Below are 21,127 nucleotides of genomic sequence, written 5' to 3' on the forward strand. Positions count from 1 at the left end.
GCAGGCGGGGCGGGGCACGGGGCGGGGCACAGGGCGGCTTCGGGGAGGTAGCGGGGGCAAGGAGGCACCGAGAAGGGAGCCGGGGGCGGGGGAGGGGGGAGCCAGGCCGCACGGGCTGGGCGGGCACGGGGGCGGGCAGGGTGCAGACGGACTGGGCTTGCGAGGTACGAGTTGGGACTGGGGCAGGCAGGGGCGGGACTGGGGCGGGAAGGGCAGGTAAGGTGGGGGCGGAGGAGCAAGCTCGGGCCGGGCACGGGGTGGTGATTAGGGGGAAGGGGAGACGGAGTGGGCAGGGGTCTTGTGGGACCGAGCTGGGACTTGGGCCGGCGGGACAGGTAAGGGGTTGCGCGGGGGAGTGAATCGGAGGCAGTTGGGAACCGGGAGACAGGGGGCAAGCGGAGGAGCGAGTCTGGAGCGGGGCGTGCAGGGGCTGGTCTGACTGGCCCGGCTCCCTCCACCCCAGGAAACCTCCTCCGAAAGCTCCCTCGGAAGACGGCGGTGCGCGTGGGCGACACGGCTATGTTTTGCGTGGAGCTGGCGGTCCCGGTGGGCCCCGTCCACTGGCTGCGGAACCAGGAGGAAGTGGTGGCGGGGGGCCGCGTGGCCATCTCCGCGGAGGGCACGCGCCACACACTAACCATCTCCCAGTGCTGCCTGGAGGATGTGGGCCAGGTGGCCTTTATGGCTGGCGACTGCCAGACGTCCACCCAGTTCTGCGTGTCGGGTGAGGGCCTGAGGGTGCTCCCAGGATGGCATCGCTTCCCTGCTGTCTCCCTGGTCCCAGTCCCCTGCCCTCCATTACCTCAGCTCTCTGGGCTTCAGCCTGCTGTACCGAGGGCCGCCGGGCAAGACCATAGCCCTGGCCCTCCAACGTTAGGCTCCCTGAGCCCCCGCGCAGTCTTTCAGCTGCAACCAGAGAAGTGGCTGCAGGTCTGGGGCTGGAGGTTGTGGCCAGTGGTCCAGGTCCCCAGAGCAGCCCCAAGAGAGCTGGGGATCCTGTGACACCCCTCCAGGTGATTCCAGACCCAGGGCTCAGGAAGAGGCTCCCAGTAGTTGACCTCTGCCCACCCTCTACACAGCCCCCAGGAAGCCTCCCCTGCAACCCCCTGTGGATCCTGTGGTAAAGGCCAGGATGGAGAGTTCCGTGATTCTCAGCTGGTCCCCACCACCCCATGGGGAACGCCCTGTCACTATCGACGGCTACCTGGTAGAGAAGAAGAAGCTTGGCACCTACACCTGGATCAGGTGCCACGAGGCTGAATGGGTGGCTACACCTGAGCTGACCGTGGCTGATGTGGCGGAGGAGGGGAACTTCCAGTTCCGAGTGTCCGCTCTCAACAGCTTTGGTCAGAGTCCCTACCTCGAGTTCCCGGGGACTGTCCACCTGGGTAAGTGGGACCTCCCTGTTACAACCTACGGGGCTGCTCACCTGCCCCGGAATCCCCCAGGTCCAGCTTCAGGGGAGGCCAGAGTGGCCTCATGGGGACCTTCTGTGGGGAGGGGGGCTGCCAAGGCCTTGCCCTGGTGCAGTGTCCGTGGTGGGAAGGATAGGTGACCCCACTACAGGGCCCCTGGGAGCCTGCCTGTCTCCAGCAGACCCAGGGGACGGGGCTCCAGGGCTGCCCCACTCTGGTGGGGCTTGTAGGATGCTGGAGGGGTCTCAGGGCAGCTGTACCTTGTCCTTGTTCCTTCATGAGCCTGACTCATGCTATGGTCGCTCTGTGTGTTGGCTGGGCTTCCTGGAGGAGGAACATTTAGGTCTAGGCTCTGTAGGAAGAGAAGGGGAAGGCAGAGACCTCCTCAGCACTCCCCACTCCTCCTCGGCCCCTTTCTGACGCTGCCCGCCCCACAGCCCCCAAGCTGGCCGTGAGGACACCGCTGAAGGCGGTGCAGGCGGTAGAGGGTGGCGAGGTCACTTTCTCCGTGGACCTCACGGTGGCCTCAGCGGGTGAGTGGTTCCTGGATGGGCAGGCCCTGAAGGCCAGCAGTGTGTATGAGATCCACTGTGATCGCACCCGGCACACGCTCACCATCCGGGAGGTGCCCGCCAGCCTGCACGGGGCGCAGCTGAAGTTCGTGGCCAACGGCATTGAGAGCAGCATCCGGATGGAGGTCCGGGGTAGGTGGAGGGCCCCAGCTTGGGACCCTGAGCCTCATTTCTCCAGGGTGGGCGGTGTCAGGGCTCCAGGTAGGGCTGCTACAGGTCTGAGGGCCCCAGGACACCCTGTCAGCCTGCAGGTCACTGGGATGAAGCAGGCAGGGTGGTGGGCGTGTGAGGACTCACCCAGGCTGGCTGGTGGCACTGGTCCCTGGTGTCTGGGTGAGGGCCTGGGGCTGCAGGGGTCCTGCTGGGCAGAGCCTCATGTCTGTCTCCCCACTTTCCTCCTTTCCCCCTCCTGCCTCCTCTATCTTGTTAATCTTTTCCCTTCCGTTTCTTTCCTGCTTTTTTCTGTCTCTGCCATCCCATGCCTGGCTGTTCCACCTCTGTCTCCCCTGCTTCTCTGGTGTATCTGTGACCTCTGTTCTGCCATTGTCTCCCCTGCCTGCCTCTCCCTCGCTGTCCTCCTGTGCTGTTCTCCTGGGTCCCTCCCTTTATCTTTCTCTGCCCCGTGTCTGTCTCTCCTTGTCTCCCCTTCCGTCCATTCCCCTCTGTTCACCTTTCTGTGCCCCTCCGTCCATTCCCCTCTGGCCACGCATACCTGGCCCCCAGCGGCCCCAGGGCTGACTGCCAACAAGCCGCCAGCCGCAGCTGCCCGGGAGGTGCTGGCTCGGCTGCACGAGGAGGCGCAGCTGCTGGCTGAGCTGTCAGATCAGGCTGCGGCTGTGACGTGGCTGAAGGATGGTCGCACACTGTCCCCAGGCCCCAAGTATGAGGTGCAGGCATCGGCCGGGCGGCGGGTGCTCCTTGTGCGAGATGTGGCCCGGGACGATGCAGGCCTCTACGAGTGCGTCAGCCGCGGGGGCCGCATCGCCTACCAGCTCTCCGTGCAAGGTGGGAGCAGCTGGCAGCCTCTGCGGGGTTCTCTGACTTTGTGGGGAGGGTGAGGGACAGGGCAGTGGAGGCGAGCCCAGCTTGGTAGGGGGAGGGACTCCATAACTGGGTGGTTGCTCTGGTGGGCACAAGTCCCAAGGTTAGAGTCAGTAGGCCGCACTGGCTGCTTGCCCAAGCAGGGTCCCTCTAGCCTGGTGAGCCTGGGTGTCCTGTGTGGTCCCAGAAGCCGGACCAGCTCCAGCTTGTGAGCACTGTGGCCAAGTTTGTGCTCAGGGCCTCTGCAGTGCCTGACCCAGCCTGTGTCCTGCAGGCCTCGCGCGCTTTCTGCACAAGGACATGGCGGGCAGCTGTGTGGATGCCGTGGCTGGGGGCCCGGCGCAGTTTGAGTGTGAGACCTCCGAAGCCCACGTCCACGTGCACTGGTACAAGGATGGCATGGAGCTGGGCCACTCCGGTGAGCGCTTCTTGCAGGAGGATGTGGGGACGCGGCACCGGCTGGTGGCAGCCACAGTCACCAGGCAGGATGAAGGCACCTACTCCTGCCGCGTGGGCGAGGACTCTGTGGACTTCCGGCTCCGCGTCTCTGGTGAGCACGCTGTGTGTGCATGCGTCCAGGCCCATGTGGGGTGGGGAGCAGGTCCGGCTGCCTCCAGCAGAGCAGGATTGACCTTCCTGACCCTTCTTTTCTCCAGCAAATGGTTGACAGTGTCAACTGAAAAAAAAAATCAAGGTTTTAAAAGAATTAGTTTTATTCAGAAGGCTCGAGGATTGCGGCCCAGGAGTCTTTCAGACTTTCTGTTAAGCTGCTCCAAAGCAGAGTTTCAGTCTGCAGCTCATACATAGGTGGGGAAGGCTCTGCAGCTGCTCAGAAGGTACCTTTAGAGCCAGAGCTCCTCACAGCCTGGGTGCACCTTGTTACAGATGACAGAGGCACAGTCATGAATACTGCCAGACGTTATCTCATGTGCAGGGAGAAGAAGGGGCCAGCACCATTGAACTTACCTTTCCTAAAATTGCCGTACTTCAGGCTAGAGACATGGGAACCTGCACTGTGTCCCCCAGGGCTGCACTCATTCACCGGGCCAGGATTGGTGAATTCTGCTGGCAGACCAGGATGAGCAAACACAGCTTCTTATGTTTGCTGCCTCGTCCCAGAGAACATTTGCTTCTCTGTTTGGGAAAAGAAATGACTGACTAACTTCTTCTCTGTTTGGGAAAAACAGAGTTAGACTAACTAACTAACTTCTCTGTTTGGGAAAAACTAACGTTTACGTGGGTAAAGAATCTAAATGTAGAAAATAAGAAAAGATAACATGAAGGAAATTGTGGAAAGTGGACGTGGACCTGGTTTTCTTAGGCTTTAGGATAATCTTTTCCATCTGTACATGGGCCTCTGTCTCCTGCTGTGTCTCGTCCTCGCCGCCAGGGCTCACTCACAGCTCTGCAGACGCTTTTGTGTATTGTGTGTTTGTGGGCCAGGGTTAGGGCTGGCACTTCATTTAAAATGTGTTTTTATTTTATTTTGTATTTTATTTATTTTATTATTTTATTTCTTTTGAGACAGGGTCCGCCTAGGCTGGGGTACAGTGGCACCATCTCGGCTCACTGAAGCCTCAACTTCGCAGACTCAAGCAATCCTCCCACCTCAGTCTCCCAAGTAGCTGGGACCATAGGCGCGCACTATCAAGCCCAGCTAATTTTTGTATTTTTTGTAGAGATGAGGTCCTGCTATGTTGCCCAGGCTTGTCTCAAGCAATCCTCCCAGCTCAGCCTCCCAAAGTGCTTGGGCCAGAAATGTTTCTAAAGCCCTTCTCTTCGTTTTTAGGATGAGGGGACTGAGGTTGAGCAGAGCCACAGACTGGAGTGTCTCTGACAGGTTAAGATTTGAATGTAGGGGGCTCTGAGCCCTGGCTCTTTCTGGAAGCCTCCTGGGCTCAGAGATGTTGGCTGGGAGGCTGAAGGAGGAGCACAGAGGGCTTCTCAAGGAGCATGGCTGCCGGGCCTCTGTGGGCCGGATTCCGCTCACAGACCCCACAACAGGGAAGGCCCCAAGGCCAGGCTCTGGAAAACTATCCGGCTGGCTTCCAGGGGGAAATATGTGGGCGTTTAACATATAAAAGTTTAAAAATCATGCCAGCCCAGCCCTCCTAACTTTCACAGTCCAATGGCCAATTCATCCACAATGTAGAACACACCCTGTGCCTGCTCTCTGTTGTTTGAATAATCAGGGGAGTGTCTGTGAAGCTGAACCCTCTCTCTGTCTTGGTCCACATGATGGCCCGTGTCCATAGGCGGTGGACTTCCAGGACAGGCAGAAGTTTAGGGGAGAGAGAGACAGCATGCTGGGTCTGCGAAGGACACTCAGGCCACCAGGCCCTATTGATAGCTTCTCGTAGGCACACGCCCTGCCCTCCTGGCACATGCCAGGGCCCTCACTGGGCAGGGGTTGGGCATCACAGCTGCCTGTGCATGGGAAGAGCTACGCCTGAGCACACGGACCATGGAGGAGCCCATGGCAGGACTGTTCGTGCCTGGGGTACAGAATCTGATAACCTGAACCAGGCCCTGCAAACCTCACTTGGAAGGGCCTCTGACCCCACCTCCCCCCTTATGCATCCCAGAGCCCAAGGCGGTGTTTGCCAAGGAGCAGCCGGCGTGCAGGGAGGTGCAGGCTGAGGTGGGGGCCAGCGCCACGCTGAGCTGTGAGGTGGCCCAGGACCAGATGGAGGTGACGTGGTACAAGGACGGGAAGAAGTTGAGCTCCAGCTCGAAAGTGCACGTGGAGGCTGTGGGCTGTATGCGGAGGCTGGTGGTGCAGCAGGTGGGCCAGGCAGACTCCGGAGAGTACAGCTGTGAGGCCAGGGGACAGAGGGTCTCCTTCCGCCTGGACGTTGCAGGTGGGTCCCTAGTGGCATGGTCAGCACCTGTCCAGGCGGTGGAGCATGTGCTGCACTGGTACTCAGCACCTCTGCCCCTCTCTGCGTCACCTGTTCCTGGCCTGTAAGGGATGGCTGTGCTGCCCGCAGTGGTTCTGTTAGAAAATCCAGCATTCTTGTGCACACCCACAGAGCACTGTGCTGCACTAGCCAGGATCCCTTGTGTGTTTATTCAGAAGCCTGTTTTCTGCTCCTGGTTGAGACCTTGCACAGACCTGTGGCTTTTGTCTTTGTTCTGAGGGAGCTGCAGTTGTGCCTTCTGTTTAGGGCACTGCAGTCTCAGCTGACCATGGAGTCTCCTCTCCCTTGGGGACCCTTAGTGTGTCCCCTCTGCTCCCAGACTCAGTGTGTGGGGACGGCGTTCCTTGTCTTCCCCTCCTGGCCGCGCTACTGCCTGTAGCTTCTGCCTCTAGAGTAGAAAGAACCAGGAAGGTGCCGGAAGCTCATGCTTGACTGGAGTTGCGTGAAGATGACCTTGTGTGGGCCCCGCCAGGGCTTTAGAGTGAGCCCCCCAGGTGGGTTCGTCGGCAGCCCCATCACCTGCCCCTGAGGGTCCACATGCCTGTGCCCTGCCGAGGTCATGCTTTCCTCCGGGCCACCTCGTTCTCTTCCTCTGCTTCCTAAAACACCGGACATCTTCATCTTCTTCCTGCAGAGGACGCTGGGACTTCTGGGCAGTCCTGTCGCTCCTGCAGACCCCTACTGCTGCCTCGGCTCAGCCCGATCCTGGCCGAGGAAGCCCTGTGCATCTGTCACCTGCGTGATGCGGGGAGGCCTCTGGCCGCTCCCACCTTAGTGTTTAGGCTTTTTGGTGGGAGGCAGAATGCCCCTGTGGTTGGCCACCAGCTCTGGGACAGCTTTGGCACCACTCCCCATGGGGTAAATGAACCCATCCCTGCCCATCTCAAGCTACACACGTGGCTTTGCTGAGTTTGGGGTTGGGAAGGACGGTGGTGGCTCTCAGGAGCATGTGAGCAGCTCTGGCCGCTGTGGTGCCTTGGTGCCTACAGGTGCTCCGTGTGTCCCCTGGAGGTGCTGGTCTTGGTTGTAGGGGGAGCAGCCCTCTCCTCTCGGTGCTCCATGGGTGGGGCATGGGACGCAGGGATGCAGCATGTCCCTATCCAGCGAGGTCTTTCCCAAGACCCTGCTCTGTAGCTGCCATGCTACTGTGGCTGCTACCCTGTATGCAGGGAGAGGGTCAAATCAGCAAAACTGGTTTCTTGTTTTTTGGTAATTTTTTGTTGGTTTTGCTTTTTGCTAACTTCTTTCAAGATTTGTCTCTCCTCCCGGCTTCCTATGTTGGAGTATCATATCTACATTGTCTTGGTGCCTGAGTTAAAATTTCCAGTGTAATATTTGATCGCACATATGAAGTTGTCTTTGTTATCATGAAATTAAGGAAGCTCTGGTGCCAACAGTTTTTTTATTTTGTTTTGTTTTGAGACGGAGTCTCATTGTGTCACCTAGGCTGGAGTGCAGTGGTGTGATCTTGGCTCACTGCAGCCTCAACCTTTTGGGTTCAAGTGATCCTCCCGACTTGGCCTCCTGAGTTGCCGGAACCACAGGCATGTGCCACCACACGTGGTTATTTTTTAAGAATTTTTTTGTAGAGATGGGGTCTTGCTGTGTTGCCCAGGCTGGTCTTGAACTCCTGGCCTCAAGCAGTCCGCCTGCCTCGGCCTCCCAAAATGCTGGGATTACAGGTGTGAGCCACTGCACCTGACCAACAACTTTTTTTTCTTTTTGAGGTGGAGTCTTGCTCTGTCGCCCAGGCTGGAATGCAGTGGCACAGTCTCAGCTCACTGCACCCTCCGCCTCCTGGGTTCAAGCGACTCTCCTGCCTCAGCCTCCCGAGTAGCTGGGATTACAGGCACATGCCACTACGCCCAGCTAATTTTTTTATTTTTAGTAGAGACAAGGGTTTTGCCGTGTTTGCTAGGTTGGTCTCGAACTCTTGACCTCAAATGATCTGTCCACCTCGGCCTCCCAATGTGCTGGGATTACAGGCATGAGCCACTGCGCCTGGCCCAACAATTTTTTAATAATGACATTTGAGATGTAATTGATGCACAGATTTTAAGTGTATCATTTGAGGGATTTTGGAAAATGTGGATACCATGCACCACCATGTCTGCATCAAGGTACTGAGCATCTCCATCCCTCTAGAAAATTCCCTCATGCAGTCCACCCTCCACCCTGCCCCAGGCAGCTGCTGCCCTGATTCTCTCCCCATAGGTCAGTTGTGCCTTTTCTTTCTTTCTTTTCTTTCTTTTCTTTTTTTTTGAGATGGAGTCTCACTCTGTCTTCCAGGCTGGAGTGCAGTGGCGCAATCCCAGCTCACTGCAAGCTCTACCTCTCTGGTTCATGCCATTCTTCTGCCTCAGCCTCCCGAGTAACTGGGACTACAGGCGCCCGCCACCACGCCTGGCTAATTTTTTGTATTTTTAGTAGAGACAGGGTTTCACCATGTTAGCCAGGTTGGTCTTGATCTCCTGACCTCATGATCTGCCTGCCTTGGCCTCCCAAAGTGCTAGGATTACAGGCGTGAGCCACCGCGCCTGGCACAGTTATGTCTTTTCTAGAACGTCATTGAAATGTTCAGAAACCTACCCTCTACAAAATGACTTGAAATGGGACATCAAATGTATAAAGAACTTTGAAAAAAGGGATTGCCCAGGGACCAAAAAATAAGAGGGAACTGTAGGATGGGTGCAGTGGCTCACTTGTAGTCCCAACATTTTGGTGGGCCAAGAAGGGAGGATCACTTGAGCCAGAAATTTCAAGACTAGCCTGGGCAACATAGTGAGACCCCGCCTTTACAAAACATGAAAAAGTAGAATAATAATAATAATAAAACACAAAAGAATGACTGGGTGAAGTTGGGGTCTGCGTGTGCCTTGCAGTACCATAGAGCAGTCAAAACGAGCAGGAGCACAGGGCTCTGCATTGCAGCTGAAGAAGGGCGATTGACGCATGCAGCATTGTGCTGGAAAAGCAGGTTACAAAGCACAGAATGACGTTATGTGTTTAGTGGTTAACAACACGCAGTGGCAGCAACACATGGCAGCTGTGGTTTGTCTCCTGCCTGGAATCTCCGGAGATGCTCTTCTTAGCGTGCCACACACCTCACCTGTGTGAATCCTTGGTCATTCTATTTCAGACAGCAGGAAGTCGACGCACAGAGGTGAAGTCACTTTGTCCAAGGTCACACAGTGGGTAAACGGTTGAGCAGAGCAGCCTGACTTGCACATTCACCCTCAATAAACACACGTACTGAGATAATAAAAGGAGATTCCAAAACCAGGATTCAGGCTGGGGTTACCTCTGAGGGGCTGGGAACTAGTGGTGATGGCGTTCTTCTTTCTTTAGCAGGTGGGGAGTGTGTGGGTGTTCATTGTATTGGTTTTTTCTTTATTTTCTGCGTATTCTTTCTTACCCACTGATCAATAGCATGTACATATTGTTTAGAAATAGGAAGGCAGAACCCAGGGGAAAAATGAAGGGACTTTAAACTGGAGTTTCTGCAGAGCCAAGTAGGGTGTGGGGACAGGTGGAGGGGTAGGGCATGGTGTGTTTTGGTGTGTTTTAGCTTATTTTTTATTGTGGTATTCTAGTTTTTAATACTATTTTGTCTGCATGTGTATTTGTAGCTAGTTAATGGGCACAGATAGCACCTAAAGAGAAAACTGTTCTGATTTCATTTATTCAGAGTTCGAAGACAGGTTCTACGGTTAGGAATGAGAATGGTGGTCGCTTTTGTGGGGGAGGCAGCTGGGAGCTGTGTGGGTGTGGGGTGTGGGTTACACAGGTGCAGATAGCTGTCAGAACTCATAGAATTGTGCACCAGATCTGTGCATATCACTGTGCATACATGTTTGTGCATATCACTGTGCGTACATGTTATCCTAGTTAAGAGGTAGCATAAGAGATTTTTGTTTTTAGAGACAGGAATTTGTTCTGTTGCCCAGGCTGGAGTGCAGTGGTGCAGTCATGGCTTACTGCAACTTTGACCTCTCAGGCTCAAGCAATCCTCCCGCCTCAGCCTCCTGAGGAGCTGGGTACTCGCATACCACCATGCTTAGCAAATTTTTTAATTTTTTGTAGAGACAGGGTCTCACAATGTTGTCTTGGCTGGTCTTGAACTCCTGGGCTCAAGCAATCCACCTAGCTTGCCCTCCCAAAGTGCCAGGATTACAGGCGTGAGCCACTGTGCCCGGCCTCATAAGCAATTTTTCGATGTATGAGTTTCCTCTTTGTGTTGAGGGAAACCCCAGACAGGTATAGGGCAACTCTGGCTTTAGTGCAAACCAGGGGAGAAGTGGCCGGGGGATGGTCTGTTTGGGTCATGGTTTTGTGGGAGAGAGGTTCCCACATCTCCTGTGATTTTCAGCGTGAACCCAAGAGGGTGTTTGTGTTTGCTATTTCTCCAGGCTTTCTGGGTTCTCAGGCAGAGTTTTCGTAAGTGCTGAGGGCGTGATGTGGGCATTTCACACAGTATCAGCAGCTTTTCCTTTCAAAGGGGCACTCTGCCAGGGTGGTGCTTTTCTCTAAGGTGTTGTGGAATGTTTGGACTCCAGAGTATCTGCTGCATGTTGCTGATGGGCCTTGGGAAGTTCTTCCCCATGCTGATGCTTGAAGCTTCCAATATGCATTCTCTTTTGCTCAAACCCATGTCCGGCTGGCGGTTGGTGAGGCCACTGTTCATGGGCCACAGACAGCCCGTCATCAGTGGGCTCCAGCCTGAGCAGCCTCTGCATCTGAAACTTTAGTTTCTGTGCTCTGGAGTCTCTGACTGTGCATCCTTCCCTGTCCATCCCCAGAGCCCAAGGTGGTGTTTGCTAAGGAGCAGCTGGCACGCAGGAAGCTGCAGGCAGAGGCAGGAGCCAGTGCCACACTGAGCTGCGAGGTGGCCCAGGCCCAGACGGAGGTGACGTGGTACAAGGATGGGAAGAAGCTGAGCTCCAGCTCGAAAGTGTGCATGGAGGCCACAGGCTGCACGCGCAGGCTGGTTGTGCAGCAGGCAGGCCAGGCGGATGCCGGGGAGTATAGCTGCGAGGCTGGGGGCCAGCGGCTCTCCTTCCATCTGGATGTCAAAGGTCAGTTGATAGAGCAGACATTTGAGCATCTCATGGGAGCAGGTCTGGGGGCAGTGTTTCAGCGTAGGCTGGGACAGTGCTTGGCGGCCTCCTGAGGGCCTGTTTCAGTTAATTATCTGCTGCTGTGTAACAGATCACTCCAAACTTAGAGGCCTGAAAGAATGATCAGTTTACCTGTCACCATTCTGCAGGTTGAGAATTTGGTCAGGGCTCAGCAGGGGTGGCTCATCTGTATTTCATGTGGTGTTGGCTGGGGCTGGGGGATCTGACTGGCCTCATTGGTGCACCTGACTGAGGTCCAAGCTGGGATGGCTCCAGTGGATGGGGGATGGCCAGGACAATGGACCTGTCTCTTCTTGTGCTGTCAGCTGGCTTCATTTCCATGCCTGCAACCTCATTCCTCCATGGTTGCTCTCTTTTTGGACTTCTTTCCATGGTGACTGGATTCTTTTCCTAGGGAATGGTAGAAACTATGAGGCTTGTTAAGCTGGGTTCTCAGGACTCCCAGAGTGTTACTTTCCCCCATGTCCTGTTGCTCAAAGCTAAGCATAAGGCCAGCTTAGTCTGCAGGAACTAGGGTGTAGAGAAGTAGACCCTACTGTCAGTGGGGGAGTGGCATGTCCTGTTGTAGAACATTGTGCACCCAGGGTGTCTTGACTCATCACAACCTTTTTAACAGTCTATCATAAGGACATGGGATCTGTTTAATTCTCTGCCATCCTGAACATGTTACCTTTTTCTTTCAAATGCTTGCCTCATGGTCACAAGGTGGCTTCCATAGCTCCAGCCATCATGTTCAAGATGGGAAGATGTGGAAAGGGTGTGTATTAGTTTTTTTGTTTTCTGCTTATTTTTTTAACTGCTTTGTAACAAATTATCACCAACTTAGTGGCTTGAAACAATGCTCACTGAGTAGCTCACAGTTCTGTAAGTCAGAAGTGCAGGCGTGGCGTGCCTGGGTTCTCTGTTCAGGGTCTCAGAAGCTGAAGTCAGGTGCCTGCTGATTAGTTCTCTTGGTTCCTATTTCCAGCTTACCCAATTTGTTGGCAGAATTCAGTTCCTTGCAATTGTGGGTCTGTGAGCCCATGGGTCCAAGGCCCTATTTCTTGGCTGGCTGTCAGCCAGGGAGCTGCTGTCAGATCCTAGAGGCCACCTCATTCTTTGCCATGTGGCCTTCATCGTCAGGCCAGTAATGGGTAATCTCCCTTGTGTCAAGTCACTCTCAGACTTCAAATCTCTTTTGCCAGGGAAGAGACCCCTCCCATTTATGGCCTCACCTGATTAGGTCCAGCCCACTCAAGGTCATCATCCTTTCGAGGAACTTAAAGTCAACTGATATGAGACCTCATTCCATCTGCAGGCTTCCTTCACAGCAGCACCTAGATTTAGTGTTTGGGCATTCTTAGAATTCTGCCTCCCTCATTATGGATGTTTCTGGCTGTCTCTTCTGTTTGGAAAACAAAAACTTTTCTTGAAGTTGGGAGTACACCAACCCCCATGCCTCCCTGACTTGGTGGGGGTCTTGCAAGACCTTGCTCAGCTCCAGGTAGCCTGGAGAATGTGCCTATGGCCTTATAGCCTTGGCAGGGGGACGTAGAGGAGGAGGAGGTGGACCTGGGATGGGAGAAGCTGGCCTGGGACTGGCCCCACAGCCCATACCCCACAGCCTGGGTTTCCACCCCTTTCTGAGGCAGGCTGGCGGTAGGATCGGTGCATGTGTGGGGTCATACTGCCACGTGTGTCTCATTCCTGTCTGTCTGCTGAGTGACCTTGGGTGAGTTGTTGATGTTGTATCATCCCCAAATTCACATCCACCTAGAACCTCAGAATGGGGCCTCATTTGGAAACAGGGTCTTTGCAGATGTAATTAAGTAAAGCACCTTGTGATGAGGTCATGGACTAGGGTGGGCCCTGAATCCAGTGACACTGTCCTTAGGCAGACCGGGAGACACACACAGAGGAGGCAACCATGGGAGATGGAGGCTGACTCTGGAGTGATGCGGCCACAAGCCCAGAGACTCCGGGAGCCCCCAGGAGCTGGGAGAGGCAGGGTGGGTCCTCCCCTAGAGCCTCCTGAGGGAGCACAGCCCTGCTACACCTTGATCTCAGATTTCTGGCCTCCAGAACTGTAAGAGGATGATTTTCTGTCATTCTGAGCCACTTAGCTTATGGTGAGCTCTTACGGCAGCCCCCAGAAACTCAGACAGTTGGCCTCTCTGTGCCTCAGTTTCCTCATCTGTAACATGGGATTCATGATTGTGGCATCTGGGGACTGTGCTTGTGTAGGGCACTGTGAATTATAGCTGCTGGGATTGGGTTTTGGGGGATAAATAGGTCAAGGAAGGAGGGCAGGGCCAGCTTGGTGGTGTAGACACTGGCTAGCCTTCACCCCAGAGGGCCGTGGTGCAGGGTGGGAGGGGACAGAGGTGTGCCAGGCTGCAGGAGCTCAGAGGCACTAGCTGCCAGCAGAGTGGGCACCAGGGTGTCTGGAAAGGTGTCAGTGGCAGTGGCTCATCCAGCCTGTTTCCCTGTCTGTAAAATGCGGATCCCAAAGTGCACCCAGCTCTTAGGGCAGGAGAGGGGATTAACATGAGATGGTGCTTGGCAGGGGTGCACTAATTGCTTTATCCCATCTTCCTGCTGCTGTTTTTATCCCTAGGGTGACACACGACTCAGACACTAGGGGGCCCAGGCTTGCACATCTGCGGGCTCTGTCACATTTGTGCTCCAGGGAGAGAAGCAGACAATGTCTGCAGCGTGGGCCAGGGGTCCTGTGTGGCCACACAGAGGAATGCTGACGTTCAGCAAGTGCCTGGGTCCATGAGGGCTGCTAGAGCAGAACACCATAGCCTGGGTGGCTCAGGAACCACGGAAGTGTGAAGTGTGCTGCTTGCAGCTCTGGAGGTCAGAAGTCCAAGAGCAAGGTGCCAGCAGATTCCGTGTCTGGTGAGGCCGCTTCCTGTTTCATAGACGGTGCCTTCTAACTGAGTCTTCACAGTGGAAGGGGTGAGGGAGCTTTTGAGGTCTCTTTTATAAGGGCATTGATCTCATTCATGACCCAAGTGATTCCTAAAGGCTCCTCCTCCTAACACCATGACCTTGGGGATAAGGATTTCAACGTGGGAATTTTGGGGGCCACAGACATTCCAACCATAGCAGTGAGAATGTGGGAGCTAGGTTTTGTGATGCTCTCAGGGTTTTACCCCAAAGGCAGGACTGGCAGGCTAGCGTGTTCTCTGTGTAAGTGCTTTTGTTAAATTGACTTCTTAACATATTGTATCACGCCTATCTGCTGTTCGTGGAATGTTGTGTCCCCTCCACAGTTTATGTTGAAACTTAGTCCCCTGAGCAACAGTATTAAGAGGGGGCCTTTGGGAGGTGATTAGGCGTCGAAGGCTCCACCCTCGCGAATGGATGAGTACCCCTAGATTATAAAAGGGCAAGTTCACCACTTCCATCCTGTCTCGCATGTGAGACACAGCAATAATGTGCTGTCTTGGAAGCAGAGAGCAGCCCTCACCAGGCAGCTGAACCTGCTGGCACCTTTTCATTTGTTTGGTTTTTGAGACAGGGTCCTGCTCTGTCACCCAGACTGGAGTGCAGTGGTGTGACCATGACTCACTGCAGCCTCGACCGCCTGGGCTCAAGCAGTCCTCCCGCCTCAGCCTCCTGAGTAGCTGGAACTACAGGCACGTGCCACCATACCTGGCTAATTTTCTCAATTTTTTGTTTGTAGAGATGGGGTCTTGCTATGTTGCCCAGGCTGATCTCAAACTTCTGGGCTCAAGCAATCCTCCCACCTCAGCTTCCCAAAGTGCTGAGATTACAGGAATGAACCACTGTACCGGACCTGACTGATTTTTTAGAGTACGTAATTCAAGTAACATAAAATTCACCCTTTTACAGTGTACGATTTGGTGGTTTTTAGGTTGCGTAACCACACCACAGTCTAATTCCAGAACATTTTCATCAACCCTAAAAGAAACTCTATGCCCCTTCATAGTCACTCCCCATTCCCCTTCTCCTCAGCACTTAGCAACCACTAATGTGCTTTTTGTCTCCCTGGATTTGCCTGTTCCGGACATTTCATTTAAACAGAATCATATAATATGTGGCCTTTTATGTCTGTCTTTTTTTTACTGGGCATGATGTTTTCAAGGCTCATGATGTTGTAACATGTATCAGTACTTCCTTTTCATAGCTGAGTCACATTCCATTGTATGAACAGATCACATTTTGTTTATCTATGCATCAGTGGACAGGCATTTGAACTGTTGCCACTCTGGCAACTATACATAATGCTGCTATAAACGTTTGTATGCAGGCTTTGTGTGAATGTATGTTGTCAGTTCTCTTGAGTAGATACCTAAAGAGTAGGGTTGCCAGGTCATACGATAATATTATTTACCTTAGTGAGGAACTGTCAGACTGTTTTCTAGAGTGGCTGCACCATTTTACATTCTTCAATCAGCAATGTATGAAGGTTCCAGTTTCTCTACATCCTCACCAACTCTTCTTGTTTTTATTTATTTATATTTTATTTATTCTTTTTTTAGAGACAGGGTCTCACTCTATTGCCCAGGCTGGAATGCAACGGTGTGATCATGGTTCACTGTAGCATTGAACTCCTGGGATCAAGCAATCCTCCCATCTCAGCCTCCTGAGGAGCTGGGACTACAGGTGTGCACCACCACACCCAGCTAATTTTTGTATTTTTAGTAGAGATGGGGTTTCACCATGCTGGTCTTGAACTCCTCACCTCAAGTGATCCATCCACCTCAGCCTCCCAAAGTGCTGGGATTATAGGCGTGAGCTACCATGTCTAGCCATGATGCTAGACCTTTTTTTTAGATAAATGATTTGCAAATATTTTCTTTCTTTTTTTTTGATTATGTCTTTTGCTGCATGAAGGTTTTAATTTTGATAAAGTTTAGGCTGGACATAGTGATGTGTGCCTGTAATCCCACCTACTTGGGAGGCTGAGGTGGGAGGATTGCTTGAGCCCAGGAGACTGAAGCTGCAGTGAGCTGTGATTGCACCACTTTACTCCAGCCTGGGCAACAGAGTGAGACCCTGTCTAAAAAAAAATTTTTTTTTAAATAAAGCTTAATTTATCCTCTTTTGTTGCTTGTGTGTTAGGTGTCATTTCTAAGAAATCATTGCCCAATCCAAGGTCACGAGATATACACCTCTGTTTTCTTCTAAGATTTTAGTAATTTTAGCTGTTACATTTAGGGCTTTGATCCATTTTAAGTTAATTTTTGAATATGATGTGAAATAGTGGTCCAACTTCATCATTTGCATGTGGAAATGCAGCTGTCCTAGCATCATTTGTTGAAGACATTTTTCTCCATTGAATTTTCTTGGCACCCTTGACCATAAATGTAAAGGGTTTATTTCTGGATTCTCAATTCTGTTCCATTGATTTCTAAGTTTATCCTTATGTTAATACCACAGTCTTAATTACCATATCTTTGTAGTAAGTTTTGAAATTAGAAAGTGTGAGTTTTCCAACTTTGTGTGTTTTCAAGATTGTTTTGGCTATTCAAGGTCTACTGCATTTCCATATGAATTTTAGAATCAGCTTTTCAAATTTTGGAAAAAAGGTAGGTGGGATTTTGATAGGGTTTGCATTGAATGTGTAGATCGATTTGGAGAGTATTGCTGTTTCTTCTAATCCATGAGTATGGGATACATTTCTATTTATCTGGGTCTTTTAAGATTTCTTTCAATGGTGTTTTCTAATTGTCAACATATAAAGTTTGCAGTTCCTTTGTAAATTTATTGCTAAGTAGTTAATACTTTGGATGCTACTGTCCATGGAACTGTTTTCATAATTTCAGTTTTGGAGTGCCATTGCTAAGGTACAGAAAGAGAATTGACTTTTGTATATTGGTCTTTTATCCTGCAACCTTGTTGAACTTGTTGATTAGCTCTAATATTTCTTTTGTGGATTCCTGAGGATTTTCTGTACACAAGATCGTGCTATCTCTGAATAGAGACAGTTTTACTTCCCAATGACGTTTCTTCCTTTTAAAGTGTAGGCATTTACGGCTGTGCATGTCCCCTGAGCAGTGCTTTCACTGCATCCCATAGTTTGGTATGTTGTGTTTTCATTTCCATTCATCTTAAAGTATTTTCTAATTTTTCTTTTAATTTCTTTTTTAAAAGTGTGTTGCTTTATTTCCACATATTTGTGTATTTTCCAGTTTTCTTTCTGTTTTCTAGCTTTATTCCATTATGGTCAGAGAAGATACTTTGCCTGAATTCAACTTTTAAAAATGTATTGACACTTATTTTGTGGCCTAATAGATGGCCTATCCTGGACAGTGTTCCATACACACTTGAGGAAAATGTGTATTCTTCTCCTGTTGATTGGAATATTCTATACAGTCTCATGTTGACTGGAATATTCTATAGAGTGTTCTCCCTGTGGGGGATAGGTTCCAGGACTCCTGTAGATACCAAAATCCATGGATCATCAAGTTCTTTATATAGAATGATGTAGTATTTGCATATAACCTACACATATCCTTCCTTATATTTTAAATCATCTCTAGATTACTCATAGTACCTAATACAATGTAAATGCTATATAAATGCTTGTTATACTGTATTTCTAAAAATTTATATTACTTTTATTGTTGTGTCATCATTTTTTTTCCAGAATATTTTTGATCCTCGGTTGGCTGAATCTGCACACGTGTAACCTGTGAATTTGGAGGGCTGACTGTATAAATCAGTTAGGTCTAGTTGATTTATAGCATTGTTCAAGTCCTCTTGGTTTTAACAGATCTTTTTTCTAGTCATTCTATTATTGAAAGTGGGGTATTGAAGTCTCTAATATTGTAGACATTTTTTCTTTCTTTAATTCTGTTGATTTTTGCTTCTCATATATTGCCCTCTGCTTTAGGTTAGTATATGTTTATAACTGTGATATCTTACTGAGAGATTGGCCCTTTCACAGTGTGTAGTGTTGTTTGTTTCCTCTGGCGGTTTGGTTTCAGGTCTGCCTTGCCTGGTGTTTGGGAGCCATTCCTGCTCTTTTGGCTGCTATGGTTTATGAAGCATCTTCGAGCCTTCCACCTGTTTGCGTCTTTGGCTCTAAAGTGTATGTCTTATAGATAGGTGAATAATGACTTTTTAATTAAGAATTAGTTTTATAATTGAGCTGAAATTCATATAACATACAGTTAACCATTTTGAAGTGTATACTTCAGTGGCATTTAATGCATTCTCAATGTTGTGCAACCACCACCTCTGTCTAATTTCAAAATTTTTCATCAGAAATTTTTCGCCAGAACACCCCATAGTCATTGGGTTATTACTTTACATTCTTCCTTCCCCCCACCATCTGGCCACCCTGCGTTTTGCTCGTTGTCTCTACAGATTCGTTTGTTCTGGATACTTCATGTAATAGAAATCATGCAATATGTGTCGCTTGTATCTGGTTCTTTTACTTTGTGTAAACTTTTCAAGATTCCTCCAAGTTGTGCGTAACATGTTCCAGTGCTTCATTACTTTTTATGGCTGAATAATGTTCCATTGGATGTGTATATCACAGCATATCACAGATGCTGTTAATTTTTGTTGCTGTTTCTGTTGCTTTTGTTTGTGTATGTTTAGTGACTTTTCTGAACCAATTCTGTAAAGTCTATGTTCCTTATCATGGGTGGCCACTGAAGCCTCTGCTCAGTGAGCTTATTGGCCAGCTGATGATTAGAACAGTGATTTTAATAGATGTCTCCAACAATAAGTCTGCCTGTCTTTGGGGCCTGTGTGTGGAAATTGGCCCATGCATTCAACACAGCTAGGCAGACGACAGCTCTACCTGTGCCTTTACTTCTGGCCTCACAGAACCTCAAGGCTAGCCAGCTGTGTGAGTGTTAGGCCTTCTCAGGCATTACCTGAGTGTGCACACAGCCTGTGCATATGTGTGACCCTCTCTGTGCCCAGGAGTGTGTTGTTGGAGCTTTCCAAAGCCTCCTGTGGATGTCTTGTTCTCCAGCATTTCCTTTTAGGCTAGAGACTTTTGGTTAGACTATTGTTCATTGCAACCGTTCTCCACTGCTTCAAGCAGCCATTGTGTTTGTAATTACCTCTGATATTTTTTCAAAAAATGCTTCTTGAGAAAATGCTTTTGCACTGGGTGAACTACTCAGGCCAAACAAATTCAGCCCTGGTGAGCGAGTTTTCCAGGGAGCTACCAAACAGGTGAAATAATGACAGTGCTCTAGGAATGGCCCTCTCTGCGGGTTGCCAGGGTGCTGGTCTTCATCCTGATTGTGGACTGTTGGTTTTCACAGTTATCTCAGAGCTAGAGTCTGGTAGGTTTAAGAATTGGGTGGGTTAAAACACCACACATCTAGCTATTCTTACTGAGATGCAGTTGTTTTTCATGGGTGAATGCTCCCCAGATTGCTGCAAGTCTTTGATTAATTTTCAGACTTCTGAAAAGTTGATTTCAACATTTTTTTTGGCCAGTGCTTTTCTTTCTTTTGTGGAGGAGAGGTTTTTCAGAAGTTATTATTTTGTCATTTTTGCTGACATCTCTGCCAGGGGTTTTTGAATATTGAACCAGCCTTGCATTCTTTGGATGTGTTTGGGTTTGTGGTGTGTTATTCTTCTTACATACTGGATTCAGTCGGCTGATATGTTGCTGAGTATTTTTATTTTTATGTTAATGGAGAATTTTAGTTTGTGGTTTTCATATACTGTCTTTGTCTGGTTTTGATATCAGGGTAATGCTGTCCTCAAAAAAATGGGATGGAAAGCATTTCCCTTCTCTTCTGTTTTCAAGAAGATATTGTGTAGAATTGATGTTATTTCTGTTACTTTTAAAACATCTTTTTAAGTTATTTCATTGACGAAGCAAGTAATGCCATCTTGGCCTAGAGATTTCTTTTTGTGGAATATTTAAATCACCAAGACAATTTATTTAATAGATGTGGGACTGTACAAGTTGTCTATTTTATCTTGGGTGAGTATTGGTAATTTGTGGTTTCTGGGGAATTGGTCCATTTATTCAAATGGATTTAATTTATGTGCATGGAGTTGTTTGTAGTGTTTCCTTATTACCATAGTGTCTGTAGGGTCTGCAGGGATAGCCTTGTTTCATTACTGATATTGTTAGTTTGTCTTTTCTCTCTCTTTTTTTCTTTGTCTTGTTAGAGGTTTGTCAGTTTTATTGATCTTTTCAAGGAACCAGTTTTAGGTTTCATTGATTTTCTCTATTTTCATCAATGTTATTGATTTCTGCTTTTTTCTTTATTTCCATCCTTCATCTTGCTCTGGGTTTATTTTGCTCTTCCTTACCTAATTTCTTAAGGTAGACTATTAGTTTCCTGATTGAAATACTTCTTGCTAATATAAATATTTCATACAGCAATTTTTTCTCTAAGCACTGCTTTAGCTTTATCACACACATTCTGATGTGGTATTTTCTTTTTTTTTTTTTTTTTGGAGACGAAGTCTCACTCTTATCCCCCAGGCTGGAGTGCGATGGCATGATCTCAGCTCACTGCAACCTCCGCCTCCCAGATTCAAGCGATTCTCCTGCCTCAGCCTCCCATGTAGCTGGGATTACAGGCATGCACCACCATATCTGGCTAATTTTTGTGTTTTTAGTAGAGACGGGGTTTCACCATGTTGGCCAGGCTGGTCTTGAACTCCTGACCTCAGGTGATCCGCCCGCCTCAGCCTCCCAAAGTGCTAGGATTACAGGCATGAGCCACCACACCTGGCCCTGATGTGGTATTTTCATTGTTGTCCAGTTGAAGATAATTTCTAATTTCCCTTGATACTGCCTCTTAAATGTGTAGATTATTCAGAAGTGGGTTTAATTTCCATGTGTTCAGAGATTTTACTGTTACCTTTCTGTTACTGATTTGTAGTCTAATTCCATTTTGGTCAGAGAACATAACTTTGAAACATTTCAATTCTCTTAAATTTGTTTCCTGAACCAGAATATGTCCTAGGTGGGCGAACATTCTATGTGTTCTGGAAAGGAGTGTTTTCTGCTGTTGTTGGGTGGATCCTACCAGTGTCACTTAGGTCATGATGGCTCATGGTTCAGTTCATCTGTATCCTTGATGCTTTTCTGT

At 49.9% G+C, this 21,127-nt stretch overlaps 1 protein-coding gene across 4 annotated transcripts in view, besides 1 other annotated feature; it reads left to right on the top strand.

Moving 5' to 3' along the window:
* OBSCN (obscurin, cytoskeletal calmodulin and titin-interacting RhoGEF) overlaps positions 1-21,127 on the top strand; it is a 170,833-nt gene that overhangs the window by 5,667 nt on the left and 144,039 nt on the right. For 2 of the 4 annotated variants that reach the window (NM_001386125.1, NM_001271223.3), the window contains exons 4-10: positions 464-724; positions 1,080-1,388; positions 1,853-2,119; positions 2,711-2,992; positions 3,303-3,578; positions 5,614-5,889; positions 10,749-11,024. In NM_001386125.1, the coding sequence (NP_001373054.1) occupies positions 464-724; positions 1,080-1,388; positions 1,853-2,119; positions 2,711-2,992; positions 3,303-3,578; positions 5,614-5,889; positions 10,749-11,024 (1,947 nt within the window). The remainder of the gene's footprint in view (positions 1-463; positions 725-1,079; positions 1,389-1,852; positions 2,120-2,710; positions 2,993-3,302; positions 3,579-5,613; positions 5,890-10,748; positions 11,025-21,127) is intronic. The other 2 variants (NM_052843.4, NM_001098623.2) reach the window with 1 other exon arrangement.
* Positions 32-81: a silencer, noted in NCBI's record as "silent region_1916". NCBI's record gives its function as "represses an Ori minimal core promoter by ATAC-STARR-seq in GM12878 lymphoblastoid cells {active_cell/tissue: GM12878}" and the evidence as "EXISTENCE:reporter gene assay evidence [ECO:0000049][PMID:35858748]".

This window comes from Homo sapiens, chromosome 1 (assembly GCF_000001405.40).
Source record: "Homo sapiens chromosome 1, GRCh38.p14 Primary Assembly".
In the NCBI taxonomy this organism is placed as follows: domain Eukaryota; kingdom Metazoa; phylum Chordata; class Mammalia; order Primates; family Hominidae; genus Homo; species Homo sapiens.